Genomic DNA, 24,242 nt, shown 5'->3' on the forward strand with positions numbered 1-24,242 from the left:
ATCTCCAGGACATTAGTCTGAGCAAATATTTCTTGAGCAATAGCCCACAAGCACAGGCAACCAAAGCAAACATGGACAAATGGGATCACATCAAGTTAAAAAGCTTCTGCACAGCAAAGGAAGTAATCAACAAAGTGAAGAGACAACCCACAGAACGAGAGAAAACATTTGCAAACTACCCCTCTGACAGGGGACTAATAACCAGAATATAAGGAGCTCAAACAACTCTACAGGAAAAAACCTAATAATCTGATAAAAAATGGGCAAAAGATCTGAATAGACATTCCTCAAAAGAAGACACACAAATGGTGAAAAGGTTCTCAACATCACTAATCATCAGATATCCAAAACTCAATGAGATATCATCTTGTCCCAGTTAAAATGCCTTTTATCCAAAAGTCAGGCAGTAACAAATGCTGGTGAGGATGTAAAGAAAAGGGAACCCTTGTTCACCATTGGTGGGAATGTACAACCACTACGGAGAACAGTTTGGAGGTCCCCCAAAAAACTAAAAATAGAGCTACCATATGATCGAGCAATTCCACTGCTGGGTATATATCCAAAATAAAGGAAATCAGTGTATCGAAGAGATCTGCACTCCTATGTTTGTTGCAGCACTGTTTACAATAGCTAACATTTGGAGGCAACCTAAGTGTCCATCAACAGATGAATGGATAATGAAAATGTGGTACATACACACAATGGAGTACTCGTCAGCCATAAAAAAACAGACCCAGTCATTTGCAACAACAGGGATAGAATTGGAGATCATTATGTTAACCGAAATAAGGCAGGCACAGAAAAACAAACATCACATGTTCTCACTTACTTGTGGGATCTGAACATCAAATCAACTGAATTCATGGACATAACAGAAGGATGGTTACCAGAGGCTGGGAAGGGTAATGGGGGGTTGAGTGGGAGGTGGGGATGGTTAATGGGTACAAAAAAATAGAATAAGACCTACTATTTGATAGCACAATAGGGTGACTATAGTCAATAATAACTTAATTGTATATTTTAAAATAACTTAAATAATGTAATTGGAATGTTTGTAACTCAAAGGATAAATGCTTGAGGGGATGAATACCTAATTCTTCATGATATGATTATTTCACATTACATGCCTGTACCAAAACATCCCATGTACCCCATAAATATAGACACCTATTATGTACCCACAAATTTTTTTTAAAACCCACTAAAATAAGAAGAAAAATCTATTAGGTGTGTTACTAAGAAACGTGCTGTTTAGTGGTCTACAATATTCAAAACCTCAGGGTGTGACTAAAGAAACTCATCTAAAATTATACAATGACTATTTAATGGTAGAGAAATAAATCTGAACTTATATCCATTCTAAAAATGAATAAAAACAACTTCAAAAAACTTAAGAGAAACCTGAGTTTCAAAAAGTCCAACGTTATTCTCCAAATACTTATTTAAATAAATTTACTTTGGAAAAACACGACTGTCACACTGACATAAAGCTTAAAAATATTTTATTACCTATTAAAAGTCAGTGCATTTAACACCCATTGCCTTTTAAAACCCCATATGATTCCTTATCAGACAAAATCAGATGATATTTACCATCTTAAATTCAAATAATGGCCAAAAAGTTAACAAATCTTGACTTTAAGGCAACACTCTCAACTACTAAGAAAGGGTCACGAGAGAAAAGGCCTAAAAGCAATCATAAAAGTTGTTGTCAAAAACCTTTGTATCACTGAAGACAATTGTCAAAGAGTTACTCTCAAGAAAGGCCTACTGATGAGTGAGCTGATGCTCTCAATGACTCTGAATTTTTTTTTAATTTAGGATAAATTGATTAAATATAACATAAAAGTAATGTCAGCTACAATAAACTTTGTAATGATGGAGAAATTAGCCCTGGTAAATGGAATTATAGTTCAAACTTTCTAATCAAGGTAGTATTTGTCAGTACTATTAAAATAAAACCAAAATAACAAGAAAACCTTAGGAGTTAAATGGAAAACATGTTTTCCACCTTTTCATGCGTCTATACCCCTTGAGCTATTTTCTAAGAAACGCATACTCTTCAGTATACCCTGGGTAAAGTAGCCAGACACTTCATTTAAAACAAATAAATCATGGCCCGGCACAGTGCCTCACGCCTGTAATCCCAGCACTTTGGGAGGCCAAGGCGGGCCGATCACCTGAGATCAGGAGTTTGAGACCAGCCTGGCCAACATGGTGAATGAAACCCTGTCTCTACTAAAAACACAAAAATTAATCGGGCGTGGTGGCAGGTGCCTGTAATCCCAGCTACTTGGGAGGTTGAGGCAGGAGAATCGCTTGAACCCGGGAGGCAGAGGTTGCAGTGAGCGGAGATCATGCCACTACACTCCAGCCTGGGCAACAGAGCCAGACTCTGTCTCTAAATAAATACATACATACATACATACATAAATCCTGAATTAGGTGCATGTTTCCAACTAAATATAAACTTGAAGGCAATTCACTTAGAAAAAATTTTAAAAAATATATAATGATAGCATTCTGTTCATTACCCAATGTTAAAATTAACAACAGTTTTAGCCAATGATTCAAATCTATTCAGATAATTCATTATTTTAAAAATAAGGTAAAACTTTTTTGTATCTACCTAACATTAAGTGGTCACAGCAGTATTATATTAAAAAAAAAAGGAGGAAAGATGAGAGTTAAAAATGAGCTTGCAATGGGTGCTTTCTTAAAACCACAATCATTTCTAGGTCATCTGTTTTGGTGTTGCCACAGCGACTTTGTGAATCATATGACTTTTCACCCCCTCCATAACTCAGGGGTACATTTGTTTCTGGTAAAAATATATACATTAGTGGATGTAATTTTGTTAGAGTACGTAATGTACTTTCAGCCACAACTTAGTAAACTAAATACTGGCCACTGAAAAAACATAACAGAGAGAGAAAATTATCCATATATCCACCTTTCTAAAACTGTCCATCATGTCAGCACTGAATATACTACTGTATCGTTAAGTCTGAAAACTTTTCCAACAATGACTTTACTGAAAACCTAATCTGACAAAAATTAATCAAGCACCATTGTAAAACACTCACCATGATTATTTACAAAAAGCAAATCTGATCTTATATTTAGATATACACTTACAAGAATCCTCATTTGAAATGCACAGTTAAGTATTTAATGGTGAAGTATCATGATTTCTGCAACTTACTACATATATATGTAAAAGTTGTATATTAATAAATACAGAAAGCAAATGTGGCAAAATGTTATCAATGCCAAAAGTAAGTGAAAGGTATATGGGTAGTCAGCATGTTTTTTTAACTTCCCTATGTTTGAAAAATTTCAAAGTAAAAAGCTGGGAGAACAAAAGACCCCTACTGGCTGCTACTGCCCTGAGTATATGTCCAGTGTTTTCCCTTTTGCCTCAATACCTTCCTGCCCTCATTTAAAACAACTGTTACAGAGTTATATTATGTCTTGTAAACAAAAATCACAATTCTAGGAAAGAATTTTAAAAAGCAGTTTTAAAGGCTGGCATCAGTGAATTAACTGTTTTACCTGAAAGTTAACATCTTCTTTCTTAAATATTAGTGCTCGAACTTCATCAGGATCTCCGTTAAATATAGCTTGCACCAGTGATGGCTAAAATAGAAGAGAGTAATAAAAACATTAGAATCATCCATGTGGGGTGACTAAGGATATTTTACATAGTTCTGGAATCTACAAGTTTTCTTCCCTGTAGCAATAATCACTTTTGACATTAGCCAGAAGTTTCATAAAACCAAATCATGTCAAAGTACAGGATTCCTACTTGGAAAAAAAAGGCCTAATTAAAAAAAAAAATCAATTCAGTTTGACCCAATTTAGGTAGTATAATAAACAAAATCAGATTTTATTTCTTGTAAGTAGAAGCCTTTTGTTTCTGTATATGACAAAAAGAAAGACTCTTCCAAATACAAATGTGTGATCTCAACATCTACTTGTGGGACAGAACTTTTTAAGCAATTTCCAGCCCATGAAGGAAGGCTTTTTTGAAAAGGTCTGTTTGGGGCATCAAATTATCTTACATGGATTAGCATTACATGTATAAAGATACAAATCCCAAGAAAGCAAACCTGGCAGTTGATGAAAATAGCCACTAATCAAAGACCAAAAAATACTGGATACTTAAATAACTTGAAAAGACAAACACATGCATAACTAAATATAATAATTTCTTAATCAACGATACAGCCTCTTGATAAGGTATACTATACTAGTCAAGGAGCCAGCTGACAGTAGCACTAAAACCAAGGTTAAAGATGAAGACTGAATCTCATATAAAGTCTTATATGTAAATACATAAAATTCATTACAGAAAAGGCCATGCCTTAGTGTTGCTGGGGGTAGTCAACCTTTCCTAAAATATGCAGAGTTCCTGATTCTTGTTACATCAGTTTCTGAAACCACAAAATGAAAACAGAAACGTGGTTGCCATAACTACTAATTCTCAAATTATTTTTAAACAGTCTTTTAAAGAGATTAAGACATAGTAAAGACTGAAATGTTATCTCAGCATTCAAAAAAGTAAAAACGAAAAATGTGCATTTTATACAAAAATACTGCATCATATCTACACACGTATTGCTTTAATTTGGGTTTGTAAAGAAACTATTGGAAATTTACATCTATTCTTAAAAAACAAGATTTATACTACTAGTTCAGTAGAATATAGTAAACATATAAACTTACATATCTTACCAATACATTTCCAGAAGGTGGAGAATGTAGGGATTTATTTTCCTGTGGCAATTTAGAAATGAATGCAGGAGATTCATCTTCTACCTCCTCCAAAACAACAATACACACTCGACTCATTCGATCTTTTAAAACACTAAATTCCAAGCTATGTGATAAAAGTCACAGTTGGAAGAGCACAAGTAGTTTTTCCTCCTCTTCTGTACAACACTTACAAACATTCTCTGAACAGCACAGCTGGGTTTTTTTTTTTTTTAAAGTTAATAAGTACTACTGGAAAAACAAGTTTAAAATTATGACTACATAATTTGTAACTTCCTAAATATAACGAAATTCTATTATTTCTGTTGGATTACTGCAATACTTAAGAAGAAATTTCACACCAACATGTCAATAACTAAAACTGAGTCCAAGCTCATTTAAAAATATTTTTCCTCTACCAAAATAGTCTTATTGCTCTATCTCTGAAATTTACTTGCACAAAACAATCATTGTTTTTGGTGACACAACACCACACAATATAGAATGAAATGAGAAACAACTGCTGTGACAGAGATGATCACAGCGATACCCACTCTTGCCTGCAAGGTCATATAGTTACCAGTAGCTGTTTTGCTTATAATTGAAAATAAAAAATAAAATCTCACTATTCTGTTTCCACTTCTAATTTGTCTTCATTTCTTCATCACTGGTTTAATGCAGATACTATTCACAGAAAAAAGATCTAGAGCTCAGCACAAATCCTGAAAATGAAGCTCAGAGGTTAACAATTCTTTCAGTGTTTGGGAAAGGGGCAAAAAACAAAAACAAAAAAAAAAAAACCACTCTGCATTAATAGCAAAGCTGCAGTACGTTTACATGTGATGAGTCAGACCACAAGAGACAATACGACTCTTGGTACTAGAATACAGCTTGATTAATCCAGGTTTCCCATATAATAGAAGAAACACAGTTAGCTTTATTCCCATCGATAGCATAAGCAAGGCAGAGCGTTCATTCTTTCTCCATCAGGCAGTTGTCTGTGGCTGCTCCAGCAAAAGGGCACAGGCACCAGGCAGAAATGGTGTTAGTGGAGAATCCTAGTAGAACAAGCAGGCTGTGAAGGAATTAGAAGGCATTTGAGCTCAAATTACTGCTTCAGGCTTTTTGTTTTCTTTAAAAAAAAAAAGGGGGGGGAAAAACATAGTAGTGTATCATTCCAGTGTTTCCTTTGATCTCCACATGAATACAGCTTCCATTAAACAGTCTTCATTCAGAGAAAAAAATAGCAGACTGTGCATCTTCTTTGAGCCAACTACTTTATTCAGTCATCTGCCTCTTTGCCAATATAGTTTCCTTCCACTGTGAAAACCGCCACAGTTATCCTTTTCAGATTTCAAATGCTTTCCTGTTCCTCAGATGATCTTGCAAAACACCACTGACATCCCCAAATGAGTAGGTCCTTAAAAAATATCTATAGAACCTCAGTATCAGTCCCACAGAAGCATTCCAACGGAGCAACAGTCTGAAGAGCAAAGACTGCAGACCCACAGGATGAAATGCCTAGTAATGCTCACATGTTACACTTACCAGAGATCTGAGCTACTTCTCGGGATGTAACTTCCTCTAGCAGGAGAAAAAAATAGTGCATTTGGACAGCCTTCACAATTAGAAGGTTCATGCCAGTTCTGTGACTAATCCAAATCAAACTAAAAAATTCTATAACTGAAAAATGAGTGCGCTTTTAACATTTTCCACTAAAAGCCACAAGGAAATCTGGTGTACTGCCTCTGCTGACTAACAGTGGTTTTAGCAAGTAAACAATTCCAAACGGCTTAACTGCTTTCGTGTGTTACAATAAAGCAAATGTTTAACCCTATAATGACAGTTGCAGTAAGAATATGCCTGCAATGGACTCATAAAAAAGGTTTAAAGATGGAGAAATATTTTATTAGATTATAAAAACCATGAAATTGTTTTATTCATATTTTTACCAAGATCAGTTTTAATCTGCCAGGTGTATTTTATTTTCTAGAATGCAAAGCTTAAACAAATGAAATTTAAGATTGTCTAACAATTTCTAAATTGGTGAATTTAATCAATCATTGATTCATATTTTAAAGGGAAAAGCAAAAATTTCATAATGTAGAAATCCTAACTCTAAAATTATATAAATCATTTGATTTTTCACTGAAGAAATAAAATAATCCTACCTTCCCATTTGGATAGGGAATAAAGCCTTAAAAATCTGTTAAAGAGGTACATGAAAAAAAAAATGTCCTTCGTCCTGAATTACCTATGTCAAAAGGGCACAGGGTAATACAAATAATCTCCCTCCCTATAAATTTCCCAAAGCCATAAATAAATGTCAAAGCCAATCATTTCATCGTTTTTTTTCTTCTTTCTCTGTTTACCCAACATGGGGGATATTTCTCAAGAGAAAACTTACAAAGAAAATACCATGGTCCCCCTTCAATCTGTGTTCTTCATATTAACTAGCATTTTTATTAATAAACAATAATAAACATAATAGTTACTTTTGAACATCTGTGATATGCTATGTGCTGTACATTCTCATTTAATACAATAACCTTGCTGTATTCCCATTATAGAGGGAAAAACAGACTCAGAAATGATGTATTTTACCCAAAGTTGTATAAATTAATAAAGTTGTGTGTTATTTTAAACACATACTCTTTCTAATCTATTCTGCTATCACTGAGTACACACACATACAGACACACTCTCTTCTCTCCACTCATCTCCAGATCTTTGCAACCTGTAATACTAGCTTATAAAAGTGATCTTAACAAACAGGTAACCTATAAAGGTTGTGAAAAGTTTAGGTAACAAAGGAATATACTATTTATTGCTATATTCTAAAACGAGTTATTTTTAAATGGGTACTTCAAAGCAAGTCTTAAAACCATAAAAAGGAAAAAAAAAACAAAAAATCCCAGCATGATACAAATATAAGAATGTCAGAATTTAAAACAAGAACCATTGAAAGCTATAAAATGTATCAATCTATGGAAGAAGCAATAACTCTAACATATTTGTACCAATTAAAACATGCTAACAATTCATTAGTTATATTTTAAAATATATAAAATACTTTTATGCCAAATTAAAGGTATGTAAATATTGAACATACATCAATTATGTTATCCATCTCCACATAGCTGAATCAAAAAATCTTAATATTTGAAATATCTGAAAGTGAAACAACTATAGTAACAATATCCTATATTTCATCTTCAGGGTTCCCAAGCCCACAAAGCAAAATCTCTTTTTATCTTAACAATCTTAACTTGTTCCAAAGTATCTAGTACCTAAGTTCACCTACTTAGACTTAAGCAGGTACATCCTGTTTCTTGTTCTAAGTCAACCTCCACACTTAGGTCTTTCCCAACCAGAAAACAAACTCCTTGAAGGTAGGGACTGTGTTCATACATATTGTCTCCTTCCACTTTCTTCCACCTATAAATAATTTCATTGAAATGAATTCTGTCGTCACGAGACTCTGGAAGGGTGGAGATTTATAAACAAGAATAGTGGGGGTGTGTTGGTATACATATATTTTAACCAGAAAATATAGGTGGCATTAAGGTGCAACAAAGTGAGTTTCATATCTCTAATAAGTGAACAATTAAAATTTCAGAAGTTGACAGGATATAAAACAAAGGTATGGGGTGATGGTTAAAACTAAGGGCTCAGGAGTCAGCCCACCTGAAGTTCAATTCTGCTTCCATCATTTCCTAGCTGTGTCCTTGGACAAACCACTTAAATTCCCTAAGCCTAAATTTCTTGACACTTATATAAGAAAAAAATAACCTGCAAAGATTTTTGTCTAAGAGAAATAGAGTAACAGTACAGTGCTTGAGAATGTAGGCTATTTTGTGGTCAAATTGCCTGAAGTTCTAATCCAGGCTTCCCACTAACCTAATTCTGGGATCCTGGGCTACTCACTTATTTAGTAACCTCTCTGTGCTCATTTTAACATCTATTAAATGACATTAACAGAATTTACTTCATAGTGTTGTGAAATCTAAACAAGATAACCTTACTGTTATGGATATTTGGGATAGCTGAATGATATCCCTTGTGAAGCCAGTGAGTGGATCAAAGGCTATTAAACTCCTCCTCCTCTTGACCCAGTACAAGTGAGGTAATTCAGATTAATGTCTGGAGATCCCATTCAGTTGCCAAGTCCCCACACTTTTCAGTGATCTCTTGAGAGTCTGCTAAAAGCTCATTTTAGACTCTAGTAACTAGACAAGCACATACTAAGTGTTAATTGGGGAGAGGGAGCAGTAAACTTAGGCAAGAAAGACTACAGGTTCTTCCATTCTTCTACCTTCACTAGATTTTACAGTTTAGGGACTGTAAAATTCCTTTGGGAAAAAGGATAGAAAGTACTAGCCCATGGTATATTATAAAATCAAAAGCAGATAAAAAATACTAAGAGAAATATGTCAGTTTTTAAATTATTTAAATTAGCAGCACTGTTTTGTGTCTTCTTCTATTGAATAAGACAGGCTCCTACCCTCAAGGAACTCACATCTTAAAAGGAGACAAGTGAATATTTAAGAACTTAGAAACAGAGAAAGTACTTCTGATAAAAAACTGCTGATAAAGATTGTGCAAACTGTAAGTTCAACATTTTTTTCCACTTAGAGAAATATCAAGGGGATGTGGTTATTTTCTTTGGTACTTATTTTTTAGGCCATATTAGATTAAGTTTTTAATAAGCTAACAAGTTCAACTCTGACAGCTTTATAATCCTTCTATTCTTTATACTAAAATGTATCCTATTAAGAGCTTACTCCTACTATTAATGGAATCACATAATGGTAAAGCTGGCTTAAACCTTTTTACTGATTATAAAAACATTAAGTCACTGGAAGATAATTTTTGGGTTCCTAATTGTTACACCTGAATTTCTTTTTTTGACACAAACGATTTTTCCTTTCTGCAACAAGATCCAACCTAAACCTCACCTTTTGTCTTACACATCTGTGAACTCCGTATTATCATAGAATAGAATACTCAGGGTATATTAAGTGGCTACTCTGTGGCAAGTAACAAGCTGGTCTCTGAGTATTTGAAAATAAAAAGCTTGTGGTGAAAGATGGTAAGGAAGTGGGTTCAAACAATGTTATAGAAAACATTTCTGACAGATCAAGAATCCTCACCAATCTTCTTGAGCTACGCCTCATCTATCCATATACTTTAGGAAAAAAAAGTCTTATGAACAGAGTTAAAAGAAAATGAGGTAGAGGGTGAGTGGGGAGAAATCAAGGAATAGCTGCTTTCTAGGCTACACAGGCCAGAATCCATGCAATTATCTATGTGATTATTAGAGCCACTGCAAGAAAGTCACTAGGTATTCAAAACACAACTCAAAATCCTCATAATAGATCAGACTTAACTCTCTGCAGGTAATATATTTATGATCCAGGACACTTATTTTTTATGCAGTCATAATGCCAAAATGGCCATTAACCAATATCGTTTGACGATCTCAAGTGGTGTGATCCCACTGGTACGTTACATTCGTAATAATAAATTGTTAACCCTTCCAATATTAATAGTACTGTATACTGCAGATTGTTAGCACATTCTAATATTACATGTGTTTTCTGCAGAGATCTGTATTTTGTGTCCATTCCTCCAGGCTTCCATTTCAGCTTTAGGTAAGTACAGAGCCTCACACAATAAAGACTACATTTCTCAGCTCTCTTGTAGCTAGGAGCCACATGAAAAAGTTTGACCAAAATTTTAAGTAGGTGTTGTGTGCCTTTCAGAAAACTTTCTTAAAGACCAACTAGCATATTCAGCTTGCTTCCTGGAACAAAGATGATTGGCCACTATCTTAAACCAAACAAGGACCATAGTCTAGGGTAGTGAAACTACACTAGAAGGGAGCTGGGTCTTTGAGGACTTTGCCAAACAGAACTGCCATACAAGCCTTGGACTGTCTACTTTCTGACTTTTATGTTAGAGAGAAATAAAAAGTCCTGCCTTGTTTAAGAAACTGTAATTTTGCATCTCTGGTACTTGGAGCTGAGCCTAACTCTAAATGATAATCTTACTCTTCCTTTAATTATCTATGAGTGGACATATATCCTTCGAGCCCTGTTCTTCCAACATCCATACTCCAGTACAATGTGGCTACTTAAATCTTCAATAAATAAAATGAGTTAGAAACTTGAGCTGTAACATATTGTACTAGAAACAATAATCAGAAATCTGCTGGAAAATAATTCATATTTTCCTGGATAAGCTAAGGACAATCAGAGGAGAGAGAAAGAGATGGAAACAGTTACCACAAATATTCTCAATCATCTTCAGCCACCATTTTGGTGGGTACTGTTATCAAATCTCTAAATGAGAAACAGGCTCAGTAACATCTAGTCAGCCAATCACTTATCTGCCCCATCCATTCACCTAGTATACATTCATCTACTATGTGCCAGTCTTTCTGCCAAGCTGAGAAAACAAAATTATGAATAGTCAATCCTTGTTCTAATGAACCATACACACAAATAAATACTATATGACTGCAACTGTGATAAATTCTCGAATAAAAAAAAATGTCTGAAAGACAAGGAACTAATGGGTGGCCCATGTGGCTGGGGAAGCAATCATGAGGGACAATATCACATGCAGTTGGAGAAGTGGGTATGGTCATGTGATAGAGAGGCCTTGTAAACCAAGTTATAAAGTTTGTATTTTTCATCAATTGAGAACTCATTAAAAATTTTTAATTAAGGAAGTCATGATTTGCTTTTGCTTTAAAAACATTATGTGGCTTTGATACGAAGAACGGATTAAAGGGGTAGAAGAATGGAAGTCAAAGGACTAGTTAGGAGACCACTGCAGTAATCCAACAGAGTGGGTGATCTGAATTAGGACATGATCATATAGGTGGAGAGACAGAAATATATTTTAGAGGCCGTGCACGGTGGCTCACACCTGTAATCCCAGCACTTTGGGAGACCAACGTGGGCGGATCATGAGGTCAGGAGTTTGAGACCAGCCTGACCAACATGGTGAAACCCCGTCTCTATTAAAAATACAAAAATTAGCTGGGTGTGGTGGCGCGTGCCTGTAATCCCAGCTACTCAAGAGGCTGAGGCAGGAGAATCGCTTGAACCTGGGAGGTGGAGGCTGTAATGAGCTGAGATCACACCACGGCACTCCAGCCTGGCGACAGAGCGAGACTCCATTTAAAAAAAAAAAAAAAAAGAAATATATTTTAGAAATAGGATTTATAGGACATGTTAATAGACTGGCTACAAGAGTGATGGAGAAGATGATAATCAGAAACCTCCCAGGTTTTTGACTTAAGCAACCAGTGCTTATTGGAGTTTAAGAAATTTGGGACTTTTTTAGTTTCCAAATTTATACAATGAAGAATGTTACTTGTTACATCAATATCTAAGGTGCATTTCATGCTCTCAAACTCTGTTTTAAACTTAATACAGAGCCCATTATCTTAGCATCTACCCTCATGACTTCTAAATGAAATGTTAAATCCCAAAGTTGCCTACATCTAGGTGAATATTAAAAAAATTCATAAAGAATGGTGAGATCTGGCTCAATTCTACTCAATCCAGTACACTGAAATTATCTAAAAGTCTTTTGGCAAGAATACCTTACTTTTTAAAACACTCAACAAAAATACCACAGCACTGATTAAACAATTATTAGACATTCATATCTCTACTATACATACCATGCCAAGGAATTATAAGGTATCATATATCACCTTCAAACTCCTTATGCAACTTAAATAGGGCATTATGTCATACACGTAAAAATCTAACCAGTACAAGATAAAAGACAGTAAAAGACAGTATATACTGAAGGCCGAGATATAGACTATACCTGCTACCAAGTCCATCATAGGAAAGAGTGTAGCATATGAAGTTATTAATTGTAACTGACATATACAGATACCTTCTAACTGTCCATTCTCTAAAAAAATGGATATTTTAATAAAACTCTCCATAAACCTCATTATTTTGCTCCTCCTTTAATTTATAGGAAGGGTGCTTTGTCAAAGAAATCAATGGTCTGCTAGTTAGAACATTCCATGTAAAAACTCTATCACATTTTTCAGAAAATGGTTGAAGATTCAAAACTATCATTTATAATATATAATTGTTAAAAGTGAGTATAAGTGACTGTTGAGCAGTTAAAAGCAATGGCTCACGGTGTCCAGGATAGATAAGAACAAACATACAGAAGCAAAGGTAATTACAGCAAATGAGACAAGTTGTAGGATGTGGTCATTGAGGTGGTTACAGCCAAGTGGAGGTGGTTACAGCCAAGTACAGATGACTGCTGGTGTGGAGGTTGTTAAATAGTTAAGTATGTTCAAAATGTCATCTACAAAGAAATGAAATCACCTAGATGACAGACAAACATGATCCAGATGTGGAACTGGGGTATGAGATGTGACAGATGATAGCAACAAGAAATAGAAGGATCACCTAGCCAAATGGTATGTGCCTCAAAGGAAGGAAGGTTTTTATAGACAGGCAGACTAGTAACATTTTAACACTATAATGGGGGACTAGAAGAATGCTGACTTTGCGCTCTTTCCTCCTCCCAACACACATGTACTTACGTAGCAGGTACTTACGAAAACAGAGTTTCACTGACTTTTCCAAGTAAGTGTAGATTCAACAGTTACACATATGAACTTAAGGTTTAAATCAATATTTAGATGACTATTTTTAGATTTCAGCCTTAAGAGAATTACTTCCTTCCAAAAGAATATAAGTAAAAAATTCAACAGGCCAAACTAACACAGGTTAGTTTTCTAGAATACACCTAATATGCCAAAACTAAGGAACAAAGGGAGAAAAACTACTCTGTTAGCAAGTATGTAGTACTGCATTTAAGTAATGTCTTTAAAAGTTAGGTTATTTTCTTCATAATTTTGATTACCTTGAGAAGCAGTTTGAAATTAAGGAAAAGGACTCATCATTTTAGAGGTCTTTTTTTTAAAGTTGTGATACTTTTTAAAATATCCTAGTCAATCTGATTAGTAAAATTTTTAGCTAAGATATGTGATGAGTAGTATCTCTGACATATGACTTATGTTCTATCAGGCCAAGGATAAACACATTCTCTGAAATCTACATTATTATTTGCAAAGTTAATTATTGTTCAGCAACTGTATCAAAGACAATTTAGCCCTCATATTAAAATCAGTTGAGTGCAAAATTTTTATTTTAAACAGGCTGAATTTTGCCCTTCTTAAAAAAAGATTGAGGAAAGATTATGTGCAATTCATTCTGGTTTTTACAATGTGGTGATGCCAGAGTAAATGTAGTATGAAGTTAATGCACTTTAAAAGCTGAAGGGAGAAAATTTTCAGTTTTAAAATAAGTTGCTATGGTTACAAAATGTTTACCTTTATAAGCAATAATTATGTGAGATGTCCAAGGAATTCCCGAAAGTACAGTAAGATCAGTATCTGAAGTGTACATTCGTTATTTCACAAACAAACTGAACCCAACTGCATACATCACTTCCGTTTCAAAGTGGCTATCGTTTGGGAAATACTAAAAAAAAAATGATTCATGTCTTTCTGAACCATATTGGAGACAAAAATACTGACCATAGCTATTTTTAAATTCAAGTAATGACTCAGAGAGTTTTAGTTCCTTTTATCAAAGAGTGCTGTAATTTTACATAGCACCTTCTATTGTTGAAAGAAGGAAGGTATGTTTGTAATGTGTCTCAGGTGTGGAGTTTCTTTTATACATAAATTTTCACGCCTTCGATAAACTTTTAAAAAGCCATGCTTGTAACAATGTTAATTCAGAGTAAAACGATGTCAACTCCTTTAGCTGTAGACAATTTTGAACTTCTTAAATGGGAAGAAGAGGCCCCTATAAGAATTGATAATTAGCCCATTCCTAACTAGGTTGTTAAATCCGCTATCAGTTACTGTATTGTAGAAATTTTTTGTGTGTCTGTGTTTTACATTTAGAACATTCAGTTTTGTAAGACTACTTATAAAACTTTCAACCCCATATAGCTGATCTTAAAATTAGACGCTCATCATTACCTCTTAGAAGGCAGCTATGCTCACCACTATACCAACACTGCTGCCATCATCACATCTTTTTTTTTTTTTGAGACAGAGTCTCACTCTGTCACCCAGGCTGGAGTGCAGTGGCACAATCCCAGCTCACTGCAACCTCCACCTCCTGGGTTCAAGTGATTCTCCTGCCTCAGCCTCCCGAGTAGCTGGGATTACAGGCGCATGCCACCACGCCCAGCTAATTTTTGTATTTTTAGTAAAGACAGCGTTTTACCATTTTGGCCAGGCTGCTCTTGAACTCCTGACCTCAGGTGATTCGCCCACCTCGGACTCCCAAAGTGTTAGGATTACAGGCATGAGCCACCATGTCCGGCCCATCATGACATCTTAATGGGCCTTCCACCAGTGTCTACTTTCTATGTAATAGAATATTAAACACATTTGTTAATATTAGGCCTATCCTAAGCCAAAAATAATTTATAAAATAAGATGTTACTCTCAACTGGCTTAAACAAAGGGATTATCATCACAAACATCAAGAATTAAAATAAGGTGGCTTTAGGGTGACTGATTCAGTTATCCAATGCCATCATATATGACCTACGCTCCTTTCAGCTTTTCCCTCTGTCAGACTCAGCAAGAACCTTAGGATAACTCCCTTCATAGCCACATGTTAATTGTTATACTTCATGGGATCCTATTAAACACATATTGTCATGCAGTAGAAGTGGAAATATCCTTCCGTGTCTCCCTTTTCAGGTATGAGGAAGACTCCTAGAAGCCCCACAAGCTGACTTTCCCTGAAATGCAAAGGGCCAGGCTTTGATCACATGTCCCTTCCCAAATGAATCACTACTAGGCAGAATAGGATTACCCTGATTAGCTTGTAATATTCGGGATTTCCCCAAGCGATGTGGGATAGACGTGGACATACAAACAAAATTGGGGGTAAGCATGCAAGAAGGAAGAGGGTAATTGCAAGGAAATCATTTTATAAATGCCATGGACATACAAGAAAAATGTCAAACATAAGAAAACAGAATACTTTAGGATGAAATAGTAAAATACACCTTAATTTTGACCTGTTAAAATGAGAGTTTTATCTCCAAAATGTTTCCTATTAATCTCATCTTCCTTCTCTATGAAAAGCAAGGCTAATTACTAGACACTGGGCAGACTACCACTAGAGCAATGAAACTAGAATACCTTCAAGAAGGGCAGCCAGTATAATGCATAATCTAGAAACCATTTCATAAAGGGTTGATAAAGCTGAAGATATTGTCTGAAAAGGAATCAGGGAGAACATGAAAACTTTAAAATATTTGAAGTACTGTCACTGTGAAGACAATTACACAGTTTTAGAGATAAGCTAAATCGATGAATAATAAACAGGAAGATGAAATGTTTCAATATAAGATAATACTTTTATCTGGCATTTTTCAGTCTGAAGGCATAATAAGGTTGGCTACTCATATGGGGCAGGGATAAACATCCCAGGTAACTTGAATAGCTACTATGGTTGTAGGCACTTTATGTACATTCACTTAATTCTAACAACATGCCTGCAAACTAGTTTTTAAATCCCAATTTCACGGACAAAAAATCTGAGTTGGACCAATTAAACACTGGAAATCACAAGGCTAAGCAGTAGGGAAAACTGGATTCTAACCCAGACCCATCTGTCTCCGAAGCTTGGCTCTTCCCACACACCAGACACCTAAGAGAAGTTAAATTAGCAGTTGTTAAGGAAGCAAATGGGGTTTTTGAGCTGGTGAGAACCAAATATCAACGGATTTGAAGTCCTATTCAAAATTAAGATGCCAGAAATGAAGTATTACTTCCTTCCATTTGACCAATACCTTCTAGTTTAACAATGTTTCACATCGATCTTCCCACTGGTTCCTCACAGCAATGCTTTAAGGTAAGTTGGAGAAAGGCCTTATCCCCTGGCTTTCTACCTCAGAGAGGAAAAAAGAAAACAAAGATGAATCCTATCAACTTCCCTCTGCTTTGTCTCCAAGCATATTTGTATTTTCAACTTTTTCTCTATGATCTTTCATTTATTCAATAGTCATCTTTCATTTATTAAGTACTTCTTACATCTCAGGCATCAAATCTTCAAGACTTTGCAGTCTAATGGGAAGACCTTGTAGTTGCAGAGGAAAAGGTTCATTCAAGACTGTATCTATCTTCTAATAGACCTTACTTTTTCAATTCTGATTCCTTTCTTACAGCTTTGGTTTAACCTTCTGTTCCTTTATTTTGGCCTATAGAAAGCTTTCCTGCCTCTTCACCAAGCTACCACTCCTTTTGTTTGTTTGTTTGTTTTTAATTGTTTCGACCCACTGCAATCTAGCTTTCCACCAATCAAATGAAATTGCTCCAAGGTCATCAATGATAATTTATTACAAAATCATCATTATTCTCAACTACTCTACAATATTGGGCAATAACCTCTCTTCTTGTTGCGTCCATAATATTTTTACCTATTTTTCTGGTCCCTTTTCTGGTCCTTTTCACTTGGTTTTTCTTCTACACACACCCCCCTTTTTTTTTTCTAGCTCCTTTTAATCTCTTTTTGGACAATCTCATGTCAAAATTCTACTTATCATCTGCAGTCCACTTCCCCAAAGTGTTCTTTTTCTGAATTCCCATGTTGGTTAATAGTAATGGCATCACCATGTACAAAGTAGCCCAACACACAGTAGCCTTCCCTTACTTCATCTCCCACTTTTAGTCAGTCACCAAGTTCTATGCATTTTACATAAAGTTTTCCTAAACTCTGTCTTCACAGTGACCTAATTCAAACCCACTTCAGTCCTCACCTAAGCTATCATAACTACCTCCTAACTAGCCTCTCAACTGTTGACTCTCCTTCTAGTTCTATACATCCTTGTAACAGACACAGGTACTTTCACACAGATCCTTTCCTTTAAGGAGAGTCTCTGGTCCTGAGACATACAAGAAACCCAAGCCTGACCAGAGTACTACCCACCCCTAACAACATGTCTCGTTCAGGAAAGAGCACATGACTGAAACTAGACAATGTCTTCCTCAGGACTTCACTTTCCTGCCAAGGCTATCAGAGAAAAATACTCTCTTTTCTTTCGGGATTGTGAGGACACAATCCCAGTAAGCAAAAACTGCTCATAGGAGGAATGAAAGAATGGGGGAGGATGGGAAACCCACTGTCACCAAGTCCTGGATCTAGCTCTGCTTGCCTGGCCAGTAAATATACTTTTGCATTTAAGCCAATTTGAGTTGGATTTCTGTCATTTGTAACCAAAAGTCCTGATTAACAATTATCTACACCACCAGTTACTTTTCTAAATCATAGATAAAATGTTGTCTACTTTTATTTAGTCAACTATTTTGTTTGAGTATGCTATACTAAAGACTTCCAGCAGCCTGCCTTTAAGTTTCACATATATCAATGTGCTTGTTGCAATTCAAGTATACCATGCCACTACATGCAGCTATGCCCTTGCAGATGCTGTTTCCTCTGCCTAGCACATCCCCCTCCCACCTCCTCATCCACAAAATGTATAGGTTTGCATAAAATAAGGTGGAAAATTAGACAGCAGCGAGATCATGAAGGGTGTTGAATGACACCGAGTAAATACACTTTAACCTATAGAATTTTAAGGCAAAAAGTTATAAAATAAGACTTGTATCTTAAAGAACTTACTGTGCATACAGTGTCAGGATGACCTAAAAATAAGGTGATACTAAAGGCAGAGAAAACAGTCAGTAGGCTATCACAATTAGTTTAAACCAGAGGCCATGTAGGATGGTGAAACAGTAAACTGGGACAACTTCTCTGGGAGAAAAAAAAAAAACTTGCCAACAGCTATCAATACCATTGATAAGTATTTCAAACTTTAAGCTAGCATTTCTACTTGTAGGAACTGAGACATAAGAAAATAATGTGAGGCCTATAAAAATTTACATATCAAGATTTCAGTGAAGCATTATTTACAACAAAAGACTGAAAATTTAAATGCTGAACAATAAAATGATTTAAAATACAGTATATATCACACAGTGAAACTATATCTAATATTTAAAAATAAAATCTTTAAAGAATTTCTAAAACATGGGATATACTAAAAAATATTATATGGAATACAACACTGCAGTATAAACAAAATAATCTTAATTACGTTAAATAGAAGACTTTTTTTCTTTTTCATTTTTAGCATCAACACTACATGAGTTAGGTCAGTGGCAGGATTATGAGTAATTTGTTCTCTCCTTTTTTTTTTTTTTCCCCTAAGTAACATTGTCCTTAGCCATGATCCTTATTTGCTAAACAAAATCACAACTTTATAGGTAAGAAAAATAAGGCCTAGAGTGGTTACATGACAAAGTTCACATTCTAAGAGTTAAGACCACAACTTGAACACTGCCTATGTGAAGACTCACTGCCAAGAAGCAAACCTGCAAAGCCAGTCATTTAACCCATAACTCCTGTAAGCCTGAGACTCAAAGGCAAACCAAGCCTACTGTGAGTGACTTTAAACTTGCTGACCTACAATCCCCTATAAATTCATAACTCAAAAGCTATAAAATAGCAAATGAAGAGCAGACTACAGAACAGGGTAGTTTAAGATGCTTGTTTTTATGACTTTATTTTTTATCTAAATAACCCTACAAAGAACAGAAAAGGAAATAACAGCACACCAGACTGGAGAAACAAGGCCTCAGAGTAAGTTGTTAAGGGACACTGTTATTCTAGAGTCTGTTTTATTTTGATCTTTAAAAGAATAAGAGAATGCTTTATTAGAAGAAATTATTTCCCTGAATTAAGATCTCCATAATCTGTTACAATCACAAATAGACTCTATAGACTTAAGTACTCAACTCATTTAAGTAGGGTAGCTAACAAAAAGTCATTTGGTAGCTAAAAAAGCAGAATTTGAAAATAGTATTTGTGAAATAAAAGGGCTTCAGTGAAAGGAGTCTGAACAGCTACTGGATAGGAGAAAAGACAAAATAATTACCAGGGACAATTTTTCTTTATTTTGAGATAGAGTCTTGCTCTGTTGCCCAGGCTGGAGTGCAGTGGCACAATCTCAGGTCACTGCAACCTCTGTCTCCTGGGTTCAAGCGATTCTCCTGCCTCAGCCTCCAGAGGAGCTGGGACTGCAGGTGCACGCCACCATGCCCAGCTAATTTTTGTATTTTTGGTAGAGACGGGGTTTCACCATGTTGGCCAGGATGGTCTTGATCTCTTGACCTCGTGATCCGCCCACCTTGGCCTCCCAAAGTACTGGGATTACAGGTGTGAGCCACTGCGCCTGGCCAGGGACAATTTTTTTAAAACCTTTATTTTAACCTTATAAATTAAGAAATTGTGGTTTTCTATAGATGCCATGTAAATGATAGTACCACCTAAAAAGTTAATACATTTAAAATGTTTCTAAGCCAGGCACAGTGGCTCACGCCTGTAATCCCAGCACTTTGGGAGGTCAAGGTGGGTGGATCACTTCAGTTAGGAGTTCAAGACCAGTCTGGCCAACACAGCAAAACCCTATCTTTACTAAAAATAGAAAAATTAGCCAGGCGTGGTGGTACGCACCTGTAGTCCCAGCTACTCAGGAGGCTGAGGTCGGAGAATCGCTTGAACCCAGGAGGCTGAGGTTGCAGTGAGCTGAGATTGAGGCACTGCACTCCAGCCTGGGCAACAGAGTGAGACTCTGGCAAACAAAACAAAACAAAACAAAACGAAACCCAAAACAACAATAAAATGTTTCTAAGATGATAATCAAAGATGGCATCATAGAGCTGGGCACAGCGGTGTACACCTGTAGTCCCAGCTACTTGGGAGGCTGAGATGGGAAACTATACCATTATCTTAATTTCATTTGTTTTTTAAATGAATTTTCAAATGGTGCCCTTAGGTAAATTTAGAAAGGGTTTGCAGTAACCAATGGAAAAGCACCATCCAGTGGTAAAAGATGATAATTACAATTTATACAGTTATTAAAAGCAAAATTAGCTAAATGATTTGTGACTCTGCCTTTTCTCCAACACACATTCCAGGAAAGAAAAGGTAAACTGGCTATATAATACTGAGGGTATCTGCTATTTGTTACCATTTTCTTAATCAAATTTTACTATATTAAGTTGGCATTTCGTTGTTGTTTTTCTGTCTTGCTTACCAATTATCCAAATGCTCGTTTGGGAACAGAATTAGGATAGGGGCATTGTTAAAATTCATCTAAAGCCTTTATTAAGCCACAGGCTAGAAAATGGTTTAAAAAGTGTGTGAGGGGGTGAATTTCCAATGGAACTCTAGTTACCAACAGCCATCCCACAGAACAACAAATAAGTCATTCTATGTACTTTTTTAAAAGGTGATCATGGGTAGGTAATCTAGACCCTCCTGAAAAGGCCAGGTAAAGATTCACAATCAGAGATTTCATAAAGAATTCAGAATTTCTAAAAGGAACATGAATCCTGAATGTGACCCGATTCACTCCAATTTGAAGAAAACAATCAGGTAAACGGTGTGTTCCCAATAATCTACCCCTATCCTATCAGAAAACAGATGAATAAAATCTGCAGTTTCCAACATAACAGCTTTTTAATCACCTCCTTTTTTTTTTTTTTTTTTAGAGAAAAAATTAAAAAGTTTAATACAATGGCTCAGGCCTGTAATCCTAGCACTTTGGGAGGCTGAGGTGAGCAGTTCACTTTTGAGCCCAGGTGTTCAAGACCAGTCTGGGCAACATGGTACAACCCCATCTCTACTAAAAATACAAAAATTAACCGGGCATGGTGGCATGCACCTGTAGTCCCAGCTACTCGGGAGGCTGAGGTGGGATGATCGCTTGAGCCCGGCAGGTTGAGGCTGCAGTCAGCCCTGATCACATGCCGCTGCACTCCAGTCTGGGCAACAGTGAGACCTTGTTGCAAAGGAAAAAACAAAAACCAAAACCCCAAAACTTTAATGAAACCAAAAACAAATTATTACAGAAACCCAGTAAGGATGATTCTTTGTTCTGAAACAACTTTACATCAAGTCTACTTGATATCAAATGGTATTACTGTTTGGGATCATAAGATATTTAACAAAAAGTACAGCATACTGCACCTTGGTAATGACAAAAAAATCAATTACTGGGCCATAATTTTCTCCTTTTATACTCTAAAAAATATTTCAATATGTTTGAATCTGACATAAGAAGCCTAACAAATACTACCAATGATATCAAACAAGCTTATCCTATCTTCACTAGTGCCTGCAGTCCAACACACCTGGAGGTTGTGAGATTTTTTAAAAACTACTTTCATGAAAACATAGGAGTCACTCAAATAATTGAGGTTCCCCAGTGATTACTGAATGACTGTTAATGTTTAAAGTGTGCAGCACAATCATTTAACATGTAAGAGAATGAGCTATGAGCAAAAGGATGCATACATCTAAACCAAAGTTTGAAAACCTTTAGTAATTTAGTATTTCAGAACAAAATAAATAAAACTAGTTGCGATACCATTATTTTCAGCTGTTTAACATTTTCTTCTCCAAGACAGAGATCTTAGATTTATAAGCCCCCTCCACTGAAAATTTACTTGAATTATAAAACGGCTATACTAAGTCTTCCACTAACACAGGGTCCACTACTATAAATGTTTCTACAATAAAGGACTTTTTGGCTGACACTAACTATTTACTCACATACAGTTATGTATGAAAGCTAAGTTACAAGGAGGCTTAAACAGCAACAAACTAACAAATTACAAGAGCTGCCTATATTACTGCAAGAGACTACTAGAAAATAACCTACCATAATAGGAATTCCCATACTATTTTCCTCTGGTGGAGGCAGTTGTACTGTTTCAATTCCAATCACAGGCCTGTAGCAGAAAACAGATATCAAAAGAAAGAATACGCTGATCCTAGAAATTAAGGGCTATGTTATTTATAAATAACTAGTACCTTAACAAAACATTGAATTATTGGATAATATTCAAAAACTTACTTTGGATTTTATTAATTCAGAATTTACTTTTATCCTTCTATCAAGAAAAAAAATACTAATCTGGGCAACAAAACATTTTTTAAAGGCTTTCTTTATATATTAAACAGAATTGGCTTCCCAGAAGAGACTTAAAAAGTGGTGTTTGTTTCTTAGAATTCCTAGCAACAAGTCATTCTCATAAATCTTAAACACAAACACACACACACACATATACACACACAAACTTTTCAAATGCATTCACTAATAATATATTCAGTTACTTACTAATCAGCAATTATTTACCCATGGGGACGTGTTGATTTAAGAAACTGCCTATGAAAAGTTTAAAATATTCAATCTATACGCTTTTTGAATATGTAGAACATACTCATTTCAGTAATACATAAATTTAAGAAATCACTGCAATATCTCTCAAAGAAAACTCTGGTAATTTTATACATATATTATATATAAAAAGTATATATATATACTTTTTTAAAGGTTAGGATAATACATACATATTATTTAGTAACTTGCTTGTCTCCATCACTCCTCATTTAACAATGTGGACCTTAAATATTCCGCAACACCCTGAATATGACATTCCATTCAAAAATACTGTATTTAATTTCCTAAGAGTAAATATTTGGGTTGCTTCTATTTTAAAATTCATATATAATAATTTTTCTAAGAATATTATATATTCTTGTATAATACTTTTCCCAAGATAAAAAATAAAATTCCCACAAGTTAATTTTAGTGAAATGGCTTGTCTTCACATAAATAAAATTAGGCCTAAAAAATTATGGAGCCATAATTCTCAAGTGCAATGACCTAGAAAGAACAAATGTCAGAATTACATTCCCTACATAAAAGTGTGGGGCCAACCACATTTCTTTTGTTTTTCTTTTATGACAAAATTTTGCCCTGTCACCCAGGTTGGAGTACAGTGGCCCAAATGTAGTTTCAACCTCCTGGGTTCAAATGATCCTCCCACCTCAGCCTCCTCAGTAGCTGCGACCACAGGCATGCATAACCTCACCCAGTTAATTTTTTAATTTGTTTGTAGAGATGGGGTCTCATTATGTTGCCTAGGCTGGTCTCAAACTCCTGGGCTCAAGCGATCCTCCTGCCTTGGCCTCCCAAAGTGCTGGGGTTACATGAGTGAGCCACTGCACCACCCACACACTTCTTATTGTTCTGAAAGAATCGTCATCAATGCTATGACAAAGAATCATCTTTGTTATAGTAATTACTATTGTAGTAATTAATGCCTTCTAAAATGTTAGAAGACATAAACTATCCTTGGATAGTTGGAGGAAGGTCAGCTATAGTTCTAAACATAAAAATCTGTTATTTCTTCCCTTGTCAAAATTATTTATGAACAAATCAACCTCATCAGAAAATATTAAAGGTACATTATTTTAGGTTCTACAGCATGTAACAGATATGGTAATAGAATTAGTCTGCCATATGGTGGCAGCAAATACCAAAGA

The 24,242-nt window shown here is 35.5% G+C and overlaps 1 protein-coding gene across 34 annotated transcripts in view, besides 4 other annotated features; it reads right to left on the reverse strand.

Annotated features, from left to right (window-relative positions):
* The window catches only part of ANKRD28 (ankyrin repeat domain 28), a 192,579-nt gene that overhangs the window by 124,432 nt on the left and 43,905 nt on the right, over positions 1–24,242 (reverse strand). For 7 of the 34 annotated variants that reach the window (XR_007095652.1, XM_047447802.1, NM_001349277.2 and 4 more), the window contains exons 1-2: positions 4,729–6,312; positions 3,556–3,639 (exon numbers count right to left, since the gene is read on the reverse strand). The exons of 2 other annotated variants lie outside the window; for them this stretch is intronic. Coding sequence is in view for 26 of the 32 variants with exons in the window: in XM_047447802.1 (XP_047303758.1) it covers positions 3,556–3,639; positions 4,729–4,854 (210 nt within the window). In the remaining 6 variants the exon portion in view is untranslated. Of the gene's footprint in view, positions 1–3,555; positions 3,640–4,728; positions 6,518–22,572; positions 22,643–24,242 lie in introns of those variants that run through there. 25 more of the 34 variants (NR_146112.2, XM_047447803.1, NM_001349278.2 and 22 more) reach the window with 11 other exon arrangements.
* Positions 2,777–2,926: an enhancer, noted in NCBI's record as "active region_19535". NCBI's record gives its function as "activates an Ori minimal core promoter by ATAC-STARR-seq in GM12878 lymphoblastoid cells {active_cell/tissue: GM12878}" and the evidence as "EXISTENCE:reporter gene assay evidence [ECO:0000049][PMID:35858748]".
* Positions 10,543–10,642: a silencer, noted in NCBI's record as "silent region_14109". NCBI's record gives its function as "represses an Ori minimal core promoter by ATAC-STARR-seq in GM12878 lymphoblastoid cells {active_cell/tissue: GM12878}" and the evidence as "EXISTENCE:reporter gene assay evidence [ECO:0000049][PMID:35858748]".
* Positions 12,961–13,100: an enhancer, noted in NCBI's record as "active region_19536". NCBI's record gives its function as "activates an Ori minimal core promoter by ATAC-STARR-seq in GM12878 lymphoblastoid cells {active_cell/tissue: GM12878}" and the evidence as "EXISTENCE:reporter gene assay evidence [ECO:0000049][PMID:35858748]".
* Positions 14,328–14,377: an enhancer, noted in NCBI's record as "active region_19537". NCBI's record gives its function as "activates an Ori minimal core promoter by ATAC-STARR-seq in GM12878 lymphoblastoid cells {active_cell/tissue: GM12878}" and the evidence as "EXISTENCE:reporter gene assay evidence [ECO:0000049][PMID:35858748]".

Source organism: Homo sapiens, chromosome 3 (genome assembly GCF_000001405.40).
Source record: "Homo sapiens chromosome 3, GRCh38.p14 Primary Assembly".
Lineage (NCBI taxonomy): Eukaryota > Metazoa > Chordata > Mammalia > Primates > Hominidae > Homo > Homo sapiens.